Here is a 19,197-nt window from a genome sequence, read left to right on the forward strand (position 1 = left end):
ATTATGCTCTTCTTGGAGTGAAATGTGTTAATGTATTTTGAAATTATAAAAATGCTGATCTTGGCCGGGCATGGTGGTTCATGCCAGTAATCCCAGCACTTTGGGAGGCTGAGGTGGGAAGATCACTTGAGCCCAGGAGTTTGAGACCAGCCTGGGAAACACAGTGAGATTCCCCCATCTCTATAATCAAGAAAAATAAATAAATGAATAAATAAATAGTAAGTAATAAAAATGCTCATCTCACTTAAAAATTACAATGTTTATTGAGATAATTATAGATTCACATTTAGTTGGAAGGAATAATACAGAATGATCATAGATCATATACACTCTTTTCCTAGTTTCCCCCAATGATAGCATCTTAAAAACCACAGTATAATTTCACAACCTCATACTGACATTGATACAACTCAGCACCCTCATTCAGATGTCTCCAGTTTTACGTACGCTCATTGGTGTGTGTGTGTGTGTGTGTGTGTGTGTGTGTGTGTAGTTCTGTACAACTTAATCCCATGTGTAGTTCTGTACAACTTAATCCCATGTGTAGGTTCATGTATTAATATTTACAACCACAGTCAAGATACAGAACACCACTTGGTGAAAACACTGTCCTTCATCCATTGAATGGGTTTTAAGCCTTTGTAAAAAAAAATATGGATCACTTCGTGAATTTGCATATTATCTTTGTGTAGAGGCCATGTTAATCTTCTTTGTATTATTCCAAACTTTTATTATATGCACTACCAAACTGAGGCCTGCTCATACTTTTTGACTTACCAATGCCACTTGTGTAAATAAGTTTCTGAAGATGAAGTTATATTCTCCAGGCTATTTAATGCAGTAATACTTATAATAGCAAATAAAAGAGGAAAGAGGCATGTCCAAAAATAGTAGATAGAAGAAACGTATTTGTTATCTATTGCTGTGTAACAAATTATTCCAAAGTGTAATGACTCAATAATTCCAAAGTGTAATTCCAAAGTGTAATGATTTATTATATCACAATGTATGTGATATCTGGGTGTTGCTCTTCTGGGATCTCTAAATGGGGGCCTCTCACAAGACTGCTCTCAGGTGGCAGCTGAGGCTGGGGTTTTCTCTGAAGGTTCAACTGAAGAAGAATCTACATCCAAGCTCATTTATATGGTTGTTGGTAGGATTCAGTTCCAAAGGTCTCAGTTACTCTCTGGCTGTTTTAAGAGTCTTCCTTCCATTTATTGCTATGTGGGCCTCTCCACATTGAAGCTTACATTGTCATAACGAGCGAGACAAGAGAGTGCAAGAGACTGCTAGCAGTGTTTCATAATCTAATCATAGAAGTGATTTCCCATTCATTTTTCTGTGTTCTACTCATTAGAAGCAAGTTGCTAGGTCCAGCCCCTACTCAAGAGGAAGGGATTCCATACAAGTGGGAATACCAGGAGGTGAGATTTGGGGGATCTATGTTGGAAGCTTCTTATTATAATAAGTAAATTATTACACATTCATACTATTACATACTATGCAAACATTGAATTTTCTTCAATAATTACATTGGGTATAGGGCATGTTGTCATAAGAAATGAAAAGAGCTTCTGTAACTTGGAACTCAATATCAAGTATTCTAAAATATGTGAAACATAAATCCCAAAAGAAGATGAGGAAAATAGTGTACAGATAAAAATATTTGAGGAAATAATGACTGAAAATATCTCAAATTAAGTCAAAAATACAAAACCTCAGATCCAAGAGCTCAATGATCCTCCAGGAGGATAAAAATCAAAGTAAATCACACCAATGAACATTATATTCTAATTGCTGGAAATTCATGATAAAGAGGAAAAACATTAAACAAACCAGAGTGCTATGGTTTGGTTGTCTGTTTCCTCCAAACCTCATGTTGAAATTTGATTCACAGTGTTGGAGGTGGGGCTAATGGGAGGTGTTCAGGTCATGGGAGCAAATTCCTCATGAATTGATTAATGCCCTTTCTCAAGGGTGAGAGAATTCTACCTCTAATAGGTCCTTAAAGAACTGGTTGTTAAAAAGAGCCCAGCACCTCCTCTCTCCTTTGCTTCCCCTCTCCCCACAGGATCTTGGCTCCCCTCTGCCTTCTGCCAGAAATGGAAGCAGCCTGAGTCCCTCATCAGATACAGATGCCCAGTCTTGAACTTTCCAGACACCAATAATTCCAAAGTGTAATTCCAAAGCCAAATAAACCTCTTTTCTTTATAAATTACCCAACATCAGGTATTCCTTTAGAGCAACACAAAATGGGATAAGACACAGAGGGGGAAAAGACTCTTACTTATAGAAAAACAAAGATAAGCATAATAGCTTCTCTCTCATCGGAGATATTGCAAGCCAGAGACAATGGAATAACACCTTTAAAATGCTGAAAGAAAATCCTGTCAACCTAGAAGCATACATCCAGTGAAAATACCCCTCAAAATGGAAAGAAAAATAAAGACTTTTTAGATGAACAAAAGTAAGAAAATAATCACAAGTTGATCTGTTACACAGAAATGTTTAAGATACTTCTTCAGGCTGAAAGGAACTGATAGAAGATTGCAACATGAAGGAATAAGTCTACATGAAAGAATAAAAGACCTAGAAATGGCAAATATATGGATTAAATATGAAATACTTTTTCCTTATTTCTTAATTCCTTAAACTACATTTGATTATTAGAAGAAAGAAAATAACATTGTATGGTGACATTTTAACATATGTGAAAGTAAAATGTATGACGATCATAATAGAAAGAATGAGATGGTGATTACAGAAAGTACACAAAGCTACTAAAACTAACAAAGAGATTTAGCCAAGGGAAAAATAAAATGCTAGAAATTATCAATCCAAAAGTGGAAAAAAGGAGCAATAAGCAAATAGAAAATAAATATAATGGTAGATTTAAAGCCAGCCATGCCAATAATAATATAAAATGTTGTTAATGTTAACACTAAAAATATAAAAGCAAGCAATATGCTAAGTGTCTACAAGAAATACTCTTTAAATATAGAGAAGTAGGGAAAAGTAAAAGGAGGTAAAAAGGCATGTAAACAATATGCATGAAAAAGAAAATACAGCTATATTATAAGCAAAGTAGACTTCAAGACAAAGAATATTCATAAAGACAAAGACAGATATTTTATACTGATAAAGTATCAATTAATCAAGAAGACATAACAATCCTAAATGAATCAACATATAAACAGTTATTCAAAATACATTAGGCAAATTTAACAAAACTACTGGAAGAAATAGACAAATTTACAATTATAACTGAAGACTTTATTCTTGCCCCGGTGGTTAAGAAAACAAATAGACAAAACAACTGTAAGGAAAAAGAATATCTGAATATTATCAAACAATTTAACCTATTGAGCTGTATATATCCAAGAAAACATACATATTTGTTTCAAGTGCACATGGAACATTCTCCAAGACAGACCATCTGTTAAGAAATTAAAGAAGACACAATAAATGTTATGCATTGAAATTACATAGTATTTTCTCTATGATGAAATTAAATAGAGTTAAAATAGAAGTTAACAAATATAAAATATGTTTTTTTAAAACACTACTGTGTTGGAAAGTTAAACAAAATCTTCCAAGTATGCCATGAATTTTAAAAAGTGCAAGGTAAATTTTAAAATATCTTAAATGAAATAGTAATAAATTTATAATATTTTAAAATTTATGAGATACATATAAGGTAGAACTTGAAGTAATTTTATACCTTTAATTGCTTATATTAGAAACACAGAAAGGTTTCAAAATAAAAAATTTAATCTTGCAATCTCAAAGGCTAGAAAAATGACAAATTCAATAAAATGTTAACAGAAGTAAGGAAATAATAAAGATAACGAAGGTAATCAATAAAGTAGATTATTTCTTTGAAATGGTAAATAAAACTAGCAAGACTGACCAAGGAAAAACACAAACACATATTCAATACCAAAAATAAAATAGGAGACATTACTACAGATTCTACAGACATTAAAAGGCTAATACAGGGATAGTATGCCAAGAAATTTGACAATTTTGATGAAATTTGACAATTTGGATTAAAATATATTAGAAATGCACAATTATTCAAGCATATCCAAGAAAAAGAGGAAACATAATTAGTTTTATATGTAGTAATGAAATTAAATTCACCAGTATAACCTTCTCACGATTAAAACCTTTTCAGATGACTTCACTGATAAGTTCTCTTGTGTATTTATAGAACAAATGATACAAATTATTCACAAACTTTTTCAGAGAGTAGAAGAGGAGAAAATATTTTCCATGTCATTTTATAGAGCCAGCAAAAGCCTTATACCAAAATTAGACTGCACAAGAAAAGAACACTGGGCCAGGCATGGTGGCTCATGTCTGTAATCCCAGCACTTTGGGAGGCTGAGGCGGGTGGATCATGAGGTAGGAGATTGAGACCATCCTGGCTAACATGATGAAACCCTGTCTCTACTAAAAATACAAAAAATTAGCCAGGCATGGTGGCACGTGCCTGTAGTCCCAGCTACTCAGGAGGCTAAGGCTGGAGAATCGCTTGAACCCGGGAGACAGAGGTTGCAGTGAGTGGGGATCACACCGCTGCACTCCAGCCAGGGCAATGGAGCAAGACTCTGTAAAAAAAAAAAAAAACACTACAGATAAATATCCCTCATTAACATAGATGATAAAATTTTGTACTAAGTACTATAATATTTAATTTACCAACATATGAAAACAATAATACATCTCAAATAAATGAGATTATCCCCCAAATACAGGGCTGTTATAACATTTTGGTGTGTAATTCACTACATTAAAAAATGAAGCAGAAGTACTATAAGATTATCTCAGTAGATCCAGAAGAAAAACCTTTGATAAAATTCAGCACCTCCACTTTTCATCAAAATAGAAGTAGTAGGAAACTTCCTAAATTTGGTCATGGGCTTCGGCAGAACTCCCAACTAACAAAGTTACTTCAAGTTAGACAATTGATAGATTTTCAGCTAATCAAGAGAAAGGCAAGGATGTTTCTTCTCCTTGTACTGAAATTCCCAGTCACTTTTATATATGAAGAAAATCCTAAGGAAATTACAAAGAGAACAATATTACCTGGACTAATACATGAATTTAGCAATGTCACAATATACACTGTAAATAATACAAATAAATTGTATTTCTATATAATAGCTGTAAAAATTAGATTATACAATTTAAAAACCATACTCAATAGACATAAAGTACTTAGAGATAAATTTAGCGATAGATGTACAAGAAATTTACATGAAAAACAACATATAATCTCTAAGAGAAATTTTAAAATATCTAAATAAAGATCTGTACCTACTTCATGAATTGAAATTCTCAATACTTCCAAGATGTCATTTCTTCCCAAATTGATCTATTGATTCAATTCCATGCCAAGCAAAATCCAACAAGCCTTTTTTAAAAAGAAATTGAAAAGCTGTTTCTACAATTTATGTAAAAATATATCTAGTAGAGCCAAAGCAATTTTTAAAAAGAAGAACAAAGGCTTTCAAGATTTTTTTGTAAAGTAATAATAGAAAAGGTACTATGGTTTCTGTATAAGGAGAGACAAAAAAATCAATGAGACACAGCAAAGAATCTAGAAATAGATTCAAATCTATAGGGTCAATAAATGTTTGACAAAGGCACTGAAGTAATTCTTATTGCAATAATAGTCTTTTCAACAAAACATTCTGAAACATCTCAATATCTGTAAGGAAAAAAATAATATTTTACTGCTGTCCTCCATCACAGACAATAATTAATTCAAAGTAAACTACAGACCTAAACCTAAAAGCTAAAACTACAAAGCTCCTAGAAGAAAACATAAGAGAGTATTTTCATGACTTCAAGGCAGGCAAAGATTTCTCAGGGGGGAAAAAAAACACCAAAAGCATTTAACAGAAAAACAAATGAACTCCATCAAAATTTAAAACGTCCACTTATCACAGGATATTGATAAATAAATGAATGGGATAACCAAAGACAAGGAGAACGTCAAATGTGTCAAATGGCTTATATTTAGAATATAAAGAAGTCCTACTCAATAATAAGATAGAGCAAAAGATTTGAACATGTATTTCACAAAGAAAGATACAGGAATGGCCAGTTTCATCAGGCGCATATACATTAATGAGACACCACTTCAAACCTTAGAATGGCTACAATTAAAAGGAGTGACCATACCAAATGTTGAGAATGAGGAGCACCTGGAATTCTCATACACTGACGGTGGTAGAGTAAAATGGCATAGCCATTTTGGACACTACTAGGGCTGTTTCTTATAAAATTACACATACACATACCCCATGACCCAGGTTTGTATTCCTTGACATTTATCTAAGAGAAATTAAACTATATGTCCCTCAAAATTTTGCACAGCAATGTTAATAGAAGCAGCAACTACAACAAAAAAGGAAGCAACCCAAACATCAATCAACAATAGAACAGACAAATAAATTGTGGTATTTTCATACAATGTGTACTACTCAGTGATTAAAAAAAGATACTAATACATCCAAAATATGGAAGAATTTCAAAACCGTCATTCTTACTAGAGAAGACAGACAAAATAATGCATACTGTATGATTCCATTTATGTGACTGTTTTAAAACAGATATGATGAATCTATCATGATAAAAATCAGAACTATGGTTTTCTCTGAAGAGAGAGGCTAAGAATGTACTGAGAAGGGACATGAAAGAACTTTCTGGAGTGTGGAAATGGACTATATCTTAACACGGATGTGTGTCACTCTAGTGTGCATATTTTTCAAAACTGATCAAACTGTATATTTAAGATCTATGCATTTCACTGTACGTTAATTATAGAGCAATACAAATTTTAAAATCTTAACTGATAATCCCGTCTCTTTTTGGCAAACTCCTGCTCATTAATTGTAGTCCTCAAAATGAACCCTTTCCCCCAGCCCCAAAAACTCATTTTGCAGCTGCTATCCTGCCAAGAGAATGAAATGGCAAACTCCAGTCTAATGTACTTTCATATGCATTTTTTTTCTTCAAACACATTCTCTTGCACCTGCAACATTGCACTATATAAAAAGAATAGATAAGAAAACCAGATGGAATCTCATCCAAATTTATTACTAAAGATAGTTCCCAAGTGAATGGCAGTACCACCTCTCCTTCATAGCCAGGCAGACATAGCAGTTCAAACATTTCTTTCTGAGTAGTGTAAACACTTCTCTGGTTTGAAAGTTTATTAAGTTTTCATTAAATTTTGATATTGTCCTGGCTGCAAGTGCTAGCTGGTTCATACACTTGAAAGAGCAAATGCTCAAACTGTTCACTATATTTGGTCGGCAAAGGTCCCTCCCATTTTTCCCTCAAGCCCAGTCAAAATCCTCTCTGGAGTCTCAAACTTACAGAACCCTAGACAGAGAAATCTCTAAGCAAGGGGCTATTATAAGCATCTCAAGAAACTCACTACCTTTAACACTGCAACCATTTGCACCAGTAACATCAAGGTTTGAGCCTCTTCAAATCAAATTTTCCAACCATGTTGATCAATAATTTAAAAAGACTGGAAAAATCTATTTCTAAAATCTGTTTAAAATGTTCCTGGGTACATGTGCAGGACTTGCAGGTTTTTTATACAGGTAAAACATGTGCCAGGGTCGTTTGTTTCACCTATCAACCCATCACCCAGGTATTAAGCCCAGCATGCATTAGCTCTTTTCCCTAATGCTCTCCCCCTGCCCCTGCCAACAGGCTTCAGTGTGTGTTGTTCCCCTCCCTGTGTCCATGTGAACTTATTGTTCAGTTCTCACTTAAAAGTGAGAACATGCAGTGTTTGGTTTTCTGTTCCTGCATCAGTTTGCTGAGGATGATAGCTTCCAGCTTCATCAATGTTCCTGCAAAGCACATGATCTCGTTCCTTTTATGACTGCATAGTATTCCATGGTGTATATGTGCCACATTTTCTTTATCCAGTCTATCATTGATGGGCATTTGTGTTGATTCCATGTCTTTGCTATTGTGAATAGTTCTGCAATGAACATACACACAACCCCAGTAAAATGTGGGCAAGGGAAATAAACAAACACTTCTCAAAAGAAGACATACATGCAGCCAGCAAACATACAAAAAAAAGCTCAACATCACTGATCATTAGAGAAATGCAAATCAAAACCACAATGAGATACCACCTCATGCTAGTCGGAGCGGTGATAATTAAAAAGTCAAGAAACAACAGATGCTGGTGAGGTGGTGGAGAAATAGGAACGCTTTTACACTGCTGGTGAGAATGTAAATTAGTTGATTTCTAAATTTTTAAGCAGGATACGTAAAATGCAACCAATAATGTTCAGCTTCTGGTGGAATTCTCAGAAAATTCCATTCCTTATTCTCCAAAGAAAAACATGTTTGTAGCCCCTCTCAATCCACCTTAGTAGATCCAGAAGTCCTAACACCCCCAAACTCTAATACTAGTTGAATGCAAATTATTAATTTCACAGTAAAACCAATATGAAGATGGTAATAAAAAGAAGTCATTATGTTCTCTCAGATACATTCTTTCCATGCTTACAACTAATATCTGTCTCCTGAGAATCTGTTAGCTTGCATCAATTCTTGCCACTTTGAAATGAATTAGGGACCAGTATATTGGGATTGGCAAAAGAGAGAATTCCTGAAGACTGGCAAGCACACTCCTACCACCTCCTTCTTGAAACCACTCCAACCCCAGCTCTTTATCTGATTGTGTTAGGGAGGCTAGGTCTGATCCAACATGGAATGTCACGATGTGATGGGAGTCAGGAAATCTGTCTCAACTCTGCCACTGTGTAACCATGGGTAAGCCCTTTGTTTTCACTCCCCCACATTGCCTTATCTGACAATCTCTCATTTGTCTTGGCTAAGAATTATAGGAATCATTTTGTGTAAAGATTCCTGAAAATATAAACCAACCATGGGGACCCTCCTTAACATTCCATCATCAAACTTTCAAACATACTGCATCTGTTCCCATCTTCCATTTTTCCTTCCTGTTGCAGTGAGCAACTCTTCTTGCACCTAAGGCCAACTAATCCACCTACACTTGGGATCTCGGCCTTTTCTGTCTTCTAAGACAGTGGTTCTTAATCCTGGCTGCACATGTGAATCACCTAGTGAGCTTCTATTGAACACACACACACACACACGCACACACACACACATACCCCATGCCCCAACCTGCCTCCAGAAAGGAACTGTGGGGGATAGGAATAGAATCTTGGACATCAACATTTTTTCAAAGTTCTCCAGGAAATTTGAATGCACAACCAGAGTTGAGAAAATCTAATCTAGAAAAATTGTGCAATCCATTATTGTTTCTGTGGGCACTGGTTCCTTCCCATTCCCACCATGCATTTAGAACACAATTAAGTCCCCTACTACAAAAGTTCCTCCCTAAGTCCCTCCACCCCTCTCTGACTATCACCCAATTGTCTCCTCACAATATATTGCCATTTGTACTTGTTTCATTCGATTTTCTTAAACCTTAAACCTGTGGTCATTTTTGTCACCTACTTCTTTCTCACTTCCATAAAATCCATAAACTCTATCCAAGGTATTTCTTGAATATACTCCTTTTTCTCCACTTTCATTGCCTTCTCTTCAGTTCAAACCATCAACTTTTCTCCATGACTTGCTGTAGCTAGTGGCCTCCATCTAGGTTTTCCTCTATCCACTTGGTCTGAACCACATCCTCACGCATACATCACAGAGCACCAGAGAAACTTCACAGTGGCACAACCCACATCATGAGTTTCTTTCACATTTCAACTCTTGTAATGCTTCTGTACATTCAAAGACATCATTAAGAAGTGAATAGATAAGCTATAGACTGGAAGAATATATTACAACAACAACACACACACACAAAACACAATACACACCCACAAAACACAATACATGCAACACACACACACACACACACACACACACATTTGTATCTGGATACAAATAATTAGGTCCAGAATATTTTAATAGTGTTTAGAAATTCTAAAAGAGAAAGCAATGAGACCAATAGAAAAAAAATGCAAAGCAGCCATTTACAAAAATGGCCTTGTATTAATCAGAGAAATGCAATTTGAAACCATAACGACACACCAATTCCCTCCTCCAAAATGGGATGATATTAGAGAGCCTGGCAATATCAAGCATTGGAAATAGGAATTAAAATAGGCAGCTGGAGGTTATACAAATAGATACAACCACTCTGCAGAACAATTAAATTTAAAAACATGCATACCCTGTAACCCAACATCTCTACTCCTAACTTTTCAACTAAGAAAAATTTGTACATATATATATAAATATGTAGCTATGAGAATGTTTATGGCAGTATGACTTATAGTAGCAAAGAAAAAAAGAGATGCTTATAGAGTCATCAAAGGAGAATAACAATTCCTGCAATGGAATACTATGTAGCAGTGAAAATGAATGGCTCACAGAAAAGGAAATCATTGAGATTGAATCTAATAAACATGATGTAGAGCAGGTGCAAGTGACATAAGATATCAGACAGTGTGATCATTTCATAAAGCCTAAAGGAAATAAAAATACTGTATTTGCCTAGAGATGTGTACATATTATCAAAGCTTTCACGAAAAGGAGTGTGAAGTTAGGACTTAAGTACAGATCGTTTATTTGGGAGGTGATCCCAGAAAACAACTGTAGGGGAGAGGAGAAGCGACAGGGAAGGGAAAGCAGCCAATAAGAAGTGTGCTACTTAGCCAGCTAGTCGTTGGCACTTAATCCTGCAGGGAAATTCTATGTCCTGTGATAGCTCATCAGAGTGGGGAGAGACCTGGGGTATTTATACACCAACTCCGGTCCACCTTTTTCTGAAAGCTGCAGAGGAGGAGGAATTAACCCCTAGCACTTCTAGTCTCACACAGTGGTGGCCAAGTAACCTCTGGTGGCCAGAGAAAGCCCTCAGGCAAAACAACAAAAACAAAAATAAATTACTAGTTGATCCCTAATGCACTAAAATGAAAAAGGTGAGGAAATGTGGGTGGAGCTCTTGACAGCAGCTGCCATATATAATGAGCTAAGAGCATACAAACAAGCAGAAGAATGAGAATGCCATATCCAGAATAGATTAATTTTGAGAGCTAAGAAGGGGGTTTAACCAAGGAGAAATACATCAGTGTAACTACTTTTATTTTGTTTTATTTCTTAGGCTTTTAGATGGGTAGCTGTAGGAAACAGCCTGAAGCCTGGATTGAGTAAACAGTCCCTTATCCACAAAGGTGAGGTCAGGGTATTGGAAGACCACAGGGATAGTGGTGGATTTAAACACTGGCTGGGCGCAAGGGGAAAGGGCAGAGAGAAGTTGCAGAAACCCAGAACCAGAAATAAATACCGCTTCACTCTCCTTGCATCCTCCAGTCTCCTTTGATCACACCAAGCAAGAAGCCAGAGGTGGCCAGAGGAGTCACCCTTCCAGGCACAGAGTGGGTGGGAAGGTGGAGAGTTGACCTGGAGGCAAAGAGAAGGTGATGAGCACAGTTGGTGTGAGTTGTTTTTTATATATATATAAATTTTATTTATTTATATATATATTTTTTATTTATATATATATTTTATATATATATTTTATATATATATATTTTATATATATATTTTATATATATTTTATATATATATTTTATATATATTTTATATATATATATTTTATATATATTTTATATATATATATTTTATATATATTTTATATATATATTTTATATATATATAAATTTTATATATATATTTATTTATATATATATTTTATTTATATATATATGGAAGTATTATATATATATGGAAGTATTCTATATATATATATGGAAGTATTCTATATATATATATATGGAAGTATTCTATATATATATATATATGGAAGTATTCTATATATATATATATATATATATATATATATATATATATATATATATATGGAAGTATTCCATATATATATATATAGAATACTTCCAGTATAGCTGAAAACATTTAAGAAATATCTCCCTAATGGCATTAGATTGCCTTGGTGTTAGATCGCTTTGGTGTTAGAACACCAAAACCTAATATGGCCATCTGGTCCGCCTCCCACCCCATTCTGTAGCCCCTGCTAGGGCCACCTCCATGGTGCACTTTTGTCACTTGCCTCCTTGTGGCCCTGTGATCCTCCATCCTTTCCTGTCCTCAGGGTTTCCGCAGATGCATCTCCTCTGGCATTAAATACTTTTCTCCCCTTGCCTTTGCTCAGCCAACCCTTATTTAACTCTAAGGCTCCCATTTAAATATTTCACTCCAAAGAAGCTCTCCCTGATACCCCAGACCACAGAAGTCCATCTGGTGCATACATTCTGTATGTGTTATTCTCCCTGCTAATTACACTTTAATAGCTTATTTATGATATCATCAGCACCGGCACCACACGCTCAATAGCCACGATCTCTTTGGGTTCTGAGGACACAGACAAAATAAGAATCTGGACTTTTTCCGTCACATAGCCTCTGTTACCCCAGTGGAGGCTCACCCCCTTTTCAAGGCTCACTGAGAAACAGAAAATGACAACGATTTTGGAAACCCCAGTATTAAAATATCTTCTCCAGGTTTCTTACCTCATCCTTGCAACATGGTGATGCTCATTTAACCCCAGGGCCTTAGCTCCTTGTAAAATCCATGCCTAACACCCACGCACAAAAAATGCAGCATGGAGCTTGGAAGGTCTTTAGGAGGAGGTTTGAGAAACCCTAGTGCTCGAGGAATTTCAAATCCATCTCCATGATTCAATGATATAAATTCTGAATTTTTCTTTCTGAAATTTAAGATCTCTGATAGAAGATGACTGTAACATAAGTGATGGGCCAGGCGCGGTGGCTCACACCTGTAATTCCAGCACTTTGGGAGACTGAGGCAGCTGAATCACTTGAGGCCAGGAGTTCAAAATAACACTGGCCAACATGGTGAAACCCTATCTCTACAAAAAATACAAAAAAAATTAGCCAGGTCTGGTGGGCTCATGCCTGTAGACCCAGCTACTGGGGAGGCTGAGGCAGGAGACTCGTTTGAACCCGGGAAGTGGAAGTTGCAGAGAGCTAAGATCACGTCACTGCACTCCAGCCTGAGAGACAGGGTGAGACTCTTTCTCAAAATAATAGTAATAATAAACAAATGAATAAAAAAGACAGAACTGGAGAAGCCAAGCATTCCCAGCCCTCTGATGAGCTAGGTCCACAATGGGTCACCAGGTCACCCCCAGGCAGGCAGGTATCCCTCGTGGCCACACCTGAAGAAACAGTGGAGCCCAGGCTATTGTCTGGAGCAAATCACAGACACAGGACTGGGAAAGGACCTAACTAGAACCAAATCCATGCCCATGTAAATAGGAATATCATTAAATATATAAAGAAACATGTAACATATAAATAGAGGCATCAACATATATGTAAATAAAAATTAGAATAGAAATGTTTATAGATACAACAGTCTAGGGCTGTGTGCCATTCTATAGCAGTGTTTTTCTACATAGGAGGAAAGCAAACATATATACATATACATGAACCTTTACATAGACATGTATATGTGTGTGTGTATATATAACGTATATATTCATATTTAAATAGATACTGTTAATTATTTATAGGTATATATAAATACCTATACATATAGAAATAACATACATACATATAAATGTCTACTTGAGATATACACACCACAGCGTGGTGTTATGCTGGTATGTGCCAACCTCTCACACCTGGCAAGGCCACTCTGCTCAATGGTGTCTCTTGAGAGGGCAGGGTCGGCCGGCCTCTCCCTGGGGGAAAGGCCCACCTTCCTTTGTTCTGCTGTCTTCCAAGTTCCTCCACCTTTGCATGCAGAGTGAACAGGTGGTGCCAGTCTGTAGGCAAGAGCCACTGCAGGCCTGGACCGGGGTGTAAACATGATGTGGAGCCACAGCAACTGAGCGTCCACCAATCACCAAGCTGGGCAAGAACACGCAGTGACAATGCCCTCTGCCCTCCCGCACCCTCCCCAGACTTCTGTGAGTGTCAATGTCAAGACTCCACACCAAACATTTTATGCTGAGTCTGGAAGTTGGCAGTTTGCTTTTATTCACAACCCTGGGCAAACCTGTGCAGGAGATATAATCATTTTCCCAAACCAAGGGTGAGGTATGTATCTCAGGAGAGCTAAGTTGGTGGCCTCCTCCACAGAGGACCTCATATAGGTCCACCTTTGAGTTTTGGGTGCTGTTATAAACCAGGTAAGTCTCTTCCCTAGCATCACATGGTTATTAACGGGCAGAGTTAGCATTAACCCTGGTATGATCCCAAAAATCCCATGCCTTCTGCTGTAGCAAGACTGCCCGGAGTGAGTGTGGCCCCTGGGTGCGACCCCCAACCCACCCTCCCCATTGCCAGGCAACCTTCATCCCCTGAGAGTCCCTCCACCCAACAGACCCCCTGCTCCATAAAGATGCAAGGTGGCTCCCAAGCGCTCCCTCTGGGGAGCTCAGTCCTGGCCTCACCTTTCCAGACATGGAGCAATTTCTCTCTGAGACAGGCAGGGAACATAATGAATGAACAAGACCTTAAGGAAAAAAGAGAGCAAATCATATTTTTCTTTCTTTTGAGATAAAAATAATATGCCTGCACATCAGATCTCCTGTGACAGAGCTAATATCCAGGAGCAAAATCAGAAAAAGCATCCTCCTCTTGCTAATAATGTGAACATAACAACGGGCTCCTCTGACGACCACAGTGCCACAAAAGTCCCTGTCAAGCCATAGTCTGCAATGAGACCTATGAGAGTTCAAGAGGAAAGTCTTCCCTTTGCTTCACTTTATCCCTATTCGCTAAGTACAGCCAGAAAATAACCGTAAAAATTAACCTAAAGCTTAATGGCTTATGTAAGAATGCCTTAATAAAAATATGTTGGCAAGGTTATTGAACTATACAATTAAACCCCTCCCACTCGATACTTTTCAGTCTAATTTCTATCTAAAGCTTATTCAGCAAACCCAAATGCCAATGCTCTCCTTCAATTTCCACTTCTTTGAACCTGCTAATTTACGAATAAGAAAGGATTTATTTGTGTTATTAGCCACATGTAACCGCTTGTTGAAAAAGTACTTTTAAATACTGAAATCCTGAGATGCCTCGAGATTCACCAAATATCTGAAGGATGACTTTGATTTTTTTTTTCTTCCACAAGCTGTGTTTGATTTACATCAATTAGGCCCTCCACATAAGGTATCATATAACAGGAAGGCTAATAACCCAGAAATAACCTCATTAAAAGAGACAGCATATCGGTCTAAACAGAATGAACTCTAAGCAGAAAAATTAGTGACCTGGAAAGTAGCAGGGAGAGGTAATGGCAGTACCAAGAAAAAATACATCCCCGTTAGCAAGTCAAAGGAGAAATCACCAGCAATAATGTAAGAATACAATAGAGGCAGAAGCAGAACATTTTTGTAATGTTTTTAATCTGTTCAAATCCTGGAACATGCAATTTATTTTTCACCTGGTCAAAAATACTCTCTGAAATCATGCATGTATTCCTTGTAGACTCAGGCACACAAAAGGGACCCTCGCACCAGCCTGTCCCTAAGTGGGATGTGTTGACTGTGTCTCTAAGGTCAGCTGGTTTCCAGGGCTCTGAATTTTCCCACCATCGTGAACACTTTCTCAGATGGGTGAGCCCCTCTTGGACTGCCACCCACCTGATACCAGCTTATGCCAGGAATTTTTCTCCTTGACATAAAGATGCAATCTGCTCTATCTTATGGCACAGCCCATCAGAAACACAAAGCTCCCCTTCTGCAACTCCTTGTTGACTCCAAGTTCCCCCCTCCCACCAAATTCCCATTTTGTGGGCGTTTTGTAAATGCATGGTTTGCCAAGAAATGACTGTTTCTACGAAGCCTCGTGCATGTGGTGTTTTTTGTTTGTTTGTTTTTGTTTTTGTTTTTTAAAAAAAGAACAAGAAGGTGGTCACATCAGAGGGAAGCCATTTCTAATGGTAAAATGCAGCAGAAAGAGGAAATATAGGTGTTGCCCCCAGCTCCCTGGACCTGAAGAGTCTGGTGCATCATGGGAGATCCTGGAAGACTGTATTCAAATGCTGCTCAGCTCCTGAGTCAACAGAGTGATGCTTAATTAAAGAAATAGAGATAAGCTTTAAATGTGTGTAAGTGTTTTTACAGAGCACATTAAGACAGGGATTGTAGTGGAGTCCCTGAGAACCTCCTGATTCACTCTTATCTGAATTTCCCATGGGCCATTCCTGGGCAGGTCAAGCCAGCAGATAAAATTCACTTCTCCGGGGACCCTGGCTTTTGAGGAATTCCCCAGCAGCAGGGCATACGGGAGCCCAAGACCTTGCACAACCCCAGAAGAGGATCAGAAAGTAGGAGGCCAGAGCCTAGGAGACCTCGGGAAGAGGCTGAGGCCTCAGCCTCAAATGACCAATGCTGGGGCCACCTCCAGGGCTTTGGGGCTCGGGGCCAATTCCAGTCATGCAATCTGCATCATTCATCTCCTGCCCCATTCCTACTTAGAGTTCAGAGTACCAGGATGTGAGCCAGAAATCTTGATACTACCTTGAGGTCTGAAGGGAGACTCATGACTGTACAAAGAAGCCTGGCAGGATATCTGGTACTTCCTGCAGCCCATCTCCCTGCCACTCCTCTGATCTCCATGAAATCACACCTCCAGATGGACAGGTAACTGTGAGACTATGTGGCCTGGACCACTAGGTCAACACACTGCTCCTGGTTTTCAGCTGACACTCCCTTTCTTTCTCCAATGAACCCTCTGATCCAGCACCTCGCCTCCCCTTGGGAGCCAAGCTCACGCTCACCTACATGCCTTTGCCCTTATGCCCTTTCCCAGACCCACCATCGCCCCAGGCAGCCTCCTTCCTCTCCTCCTAGCCTAACCCACACAACTCTCAAGTACAAGCTCATTTCCCAGCACCCCAGAAACCCTTCTCAATGCTGTCTGTCACTTCCAGCATCACCTCCCGGCCTAGCTCTAGAATCATGCAATCCCTCCCTTTTTGTTTGGTTCTGTTCCTTAACTATTCTGGAAAGATGACAAAAGCAAATTCTGCTTCCCTAGGGCAGGAACCACAGATATGGGTTCCTGCATGGCCAGGGCTGATAGTTCAGCAAAGGCGACTTGGAGAGGACACTGGCCAATGGAGGGGATTAAGGGGACAGCTGTTTCCATGTGGTTAGGTCAGACCAGCACTGCCAAATGCAAATGTTCTCTTTTACCAAAAAAAAAATAAATAAATTTAGAAATTATAATTTTTATGTGAAATCTTCTGGGGTTGGTGAAGGAAATAATGTATACAGTGATCTATTTCCAAGCCAAAGTGCCCTAAGTAGGCTTCGGTCAGCAAACTACAGAAGTAACAGGATATACTAGGCCCCTGCTTCCATAGCCAATGCCTGATTGTCAGCCTCCCGCTTCCTCCCACCTTAGTTGCCTTCACCTGAGCCAAAAGTGCAGTCTAAGATGAAAGTTTACTAGCTTGCGAAATAGCTCATTTTGTCTGTTCTTATCAGCCTGCCCAGCTACTTAGATCATAAGTCAAATACTTAAAGAGCCCCTAAGCTAACTAGGATTGCAATGCATTGTGGGCTGCGACAAAATGGAGCAAGACAACCCAAAAAAAAAAAAAACACCTAGAGCCTCTACCCAACAATCAATAGGCAACATCCGGGAAGACTGTGACAGCATAGTACTCAGCCTATGAGGAGCTGGGGGAGGGACCTGTGCCCTAAGAGATAAATTGCTTGTTGAAACTGTGCTGGGTGTGCCTGTCTATCAAAAACATTCAGTCTTGCAAGACCATCATTAAAAGTCTCACTTTCGCTGTTCTCTGGGTCTCTGAGTCCATTCTTTGGGCTTGGATGGGTGAGTTTCTCACATTGGCAACCTATGCTACAGCAGTTTTAAGCATGAGTTAGCCAGGCAGAGCCTATTGGTGGCCATCCCAGTGCATGACCTGGAGGCTGCATGCTCCCTCCCAGGTGATGGGAAGCGGCTTCCCAGGGGCCTTTCTTTCTCCAATAAACTCGCTGATCCAGCACCTCACCTCACCCAGGGAGCCAAGCTCATGCCCTAGTAGGTTTGAGTAGGTTTCTCTGGCCTGTTGCATCTTCCCACACCCCTGCTGCTAGGTGCCCACCTCTCCTACAGCCTACCTGGCTGCAGCCCAGGTGTGGGAAGATAGAAGGGACCAGAGAAAAGCTGGGGTATCTCCCACCTCATGCCCCACAACAAGACAAGGCTTCCTCCCCGGGTTCCCTCCTGCAGTGGGTGGGGCCATCCCAGCTTTTCTTACAGCATCATATCATTAAAGCAAAAAAAAAGAAAAAAAAAAGAAAAAACCACAACCCTAAAGTGTTTCATGTGACTCCGTGAGGGCTGCCAGAGAGCTAAGAGCTTCTTAAGCAGCTTCCTTCCAAGCCATTTGGGCCCCTTCTATAAATAAAGCTTTAGACAATTTTGCAAAAGGATATTTATTTACCTGATAGATCATAACAGCTCCTGCTCCTGCGGTGTCTTTAGCCCTGTTGGGTGATCTTTGAGCACTTAGCTCCCTCTCACCTAGTTAGGCCTCTTTTTGGACAGCAAAAGAAAAAAATAATATAGAGTTGAGCTCCTTGGAGGAGCAGGCACCTGACGTGGGGTGGTCCTCCTCGCCGTGGGCTCACTCTGATCCAAGCCATTAACACAGAGGCGGCAGCAAATGCCAAGGGGAAATTATTAATAAGCAATGTCTGGAAGACTCCAAGCCAGCACGAACATTTCTAAAGTGGCAAAGGGAAGAGGCGGGAATGGGGGGAGGAGGGAACCACCGTTGCACATTTCTCAGAAGAGCAGGACCAAGAGGAAAACAGAAGAGAACAACCCGAGGAAGATGAATGATTACAAGGGAAGCAGTTCTTTCCCTCTCTGGGTTTCACCTGCTTCGATTTTGAGGTATCCCTACATGCTTTTCTTGCTTCAAATTGTGCAGAGGAAGGGCTTAGCTCGGGCATTCTCAGCACTGGCACTACTGATATTTTGAGGCCAGACCATCCTTGTTGGGGACAGACCTGGGTATCGTAGGATGCCTTTTGGCATCCCTGGCCTCTACCTGTGTCATGCCAGGAGCAGCCCCCTCTCCTAGTGTGACAAC

At 38.9% G+C, this 19,197-nt stretch overlaps 1 long non-coding RNA gene and 1 pseudogene across 1 annotated transcript; both read right to left on the bottom strand.

The window, feature by feature from the left end:
* On the bottom strand, positions 648-755 carry RNU6-967P (RNA, U6 small nuclear 967, pseudogene; annotated as a pseudogene).
* On the bottom strand, positions 4,575-11,487 carry LOC105372362 (uncharacterized). The gene is made up of 3 exons (XR_935907.2): positions 11,375-11,487; positions 5,327-5,419; positions 4,575-4,613 (listed from the first exon to the last, which is right to left on the bottom strand). It is a non-coding gene; the product is annotated as an uncharacterized LOC105372362 (long non-coding RNA).
* Positions 11,488-19,197: the final 7,710 nt, after the last annotated feature.

The sequence above is a fragment of the Homo sapiens genome, chromosome 19 (genome assembly GCF_000001405.40).
Source record: "Homo sapiens chromosome 19, GRCh38.p14 Primary Assembly".
Taxonomy (NCBI): Eukaryota; Metazoa; Chordata; class Mammalia; order Primates; family Hominidae; genus Homo; species Homo sapiens.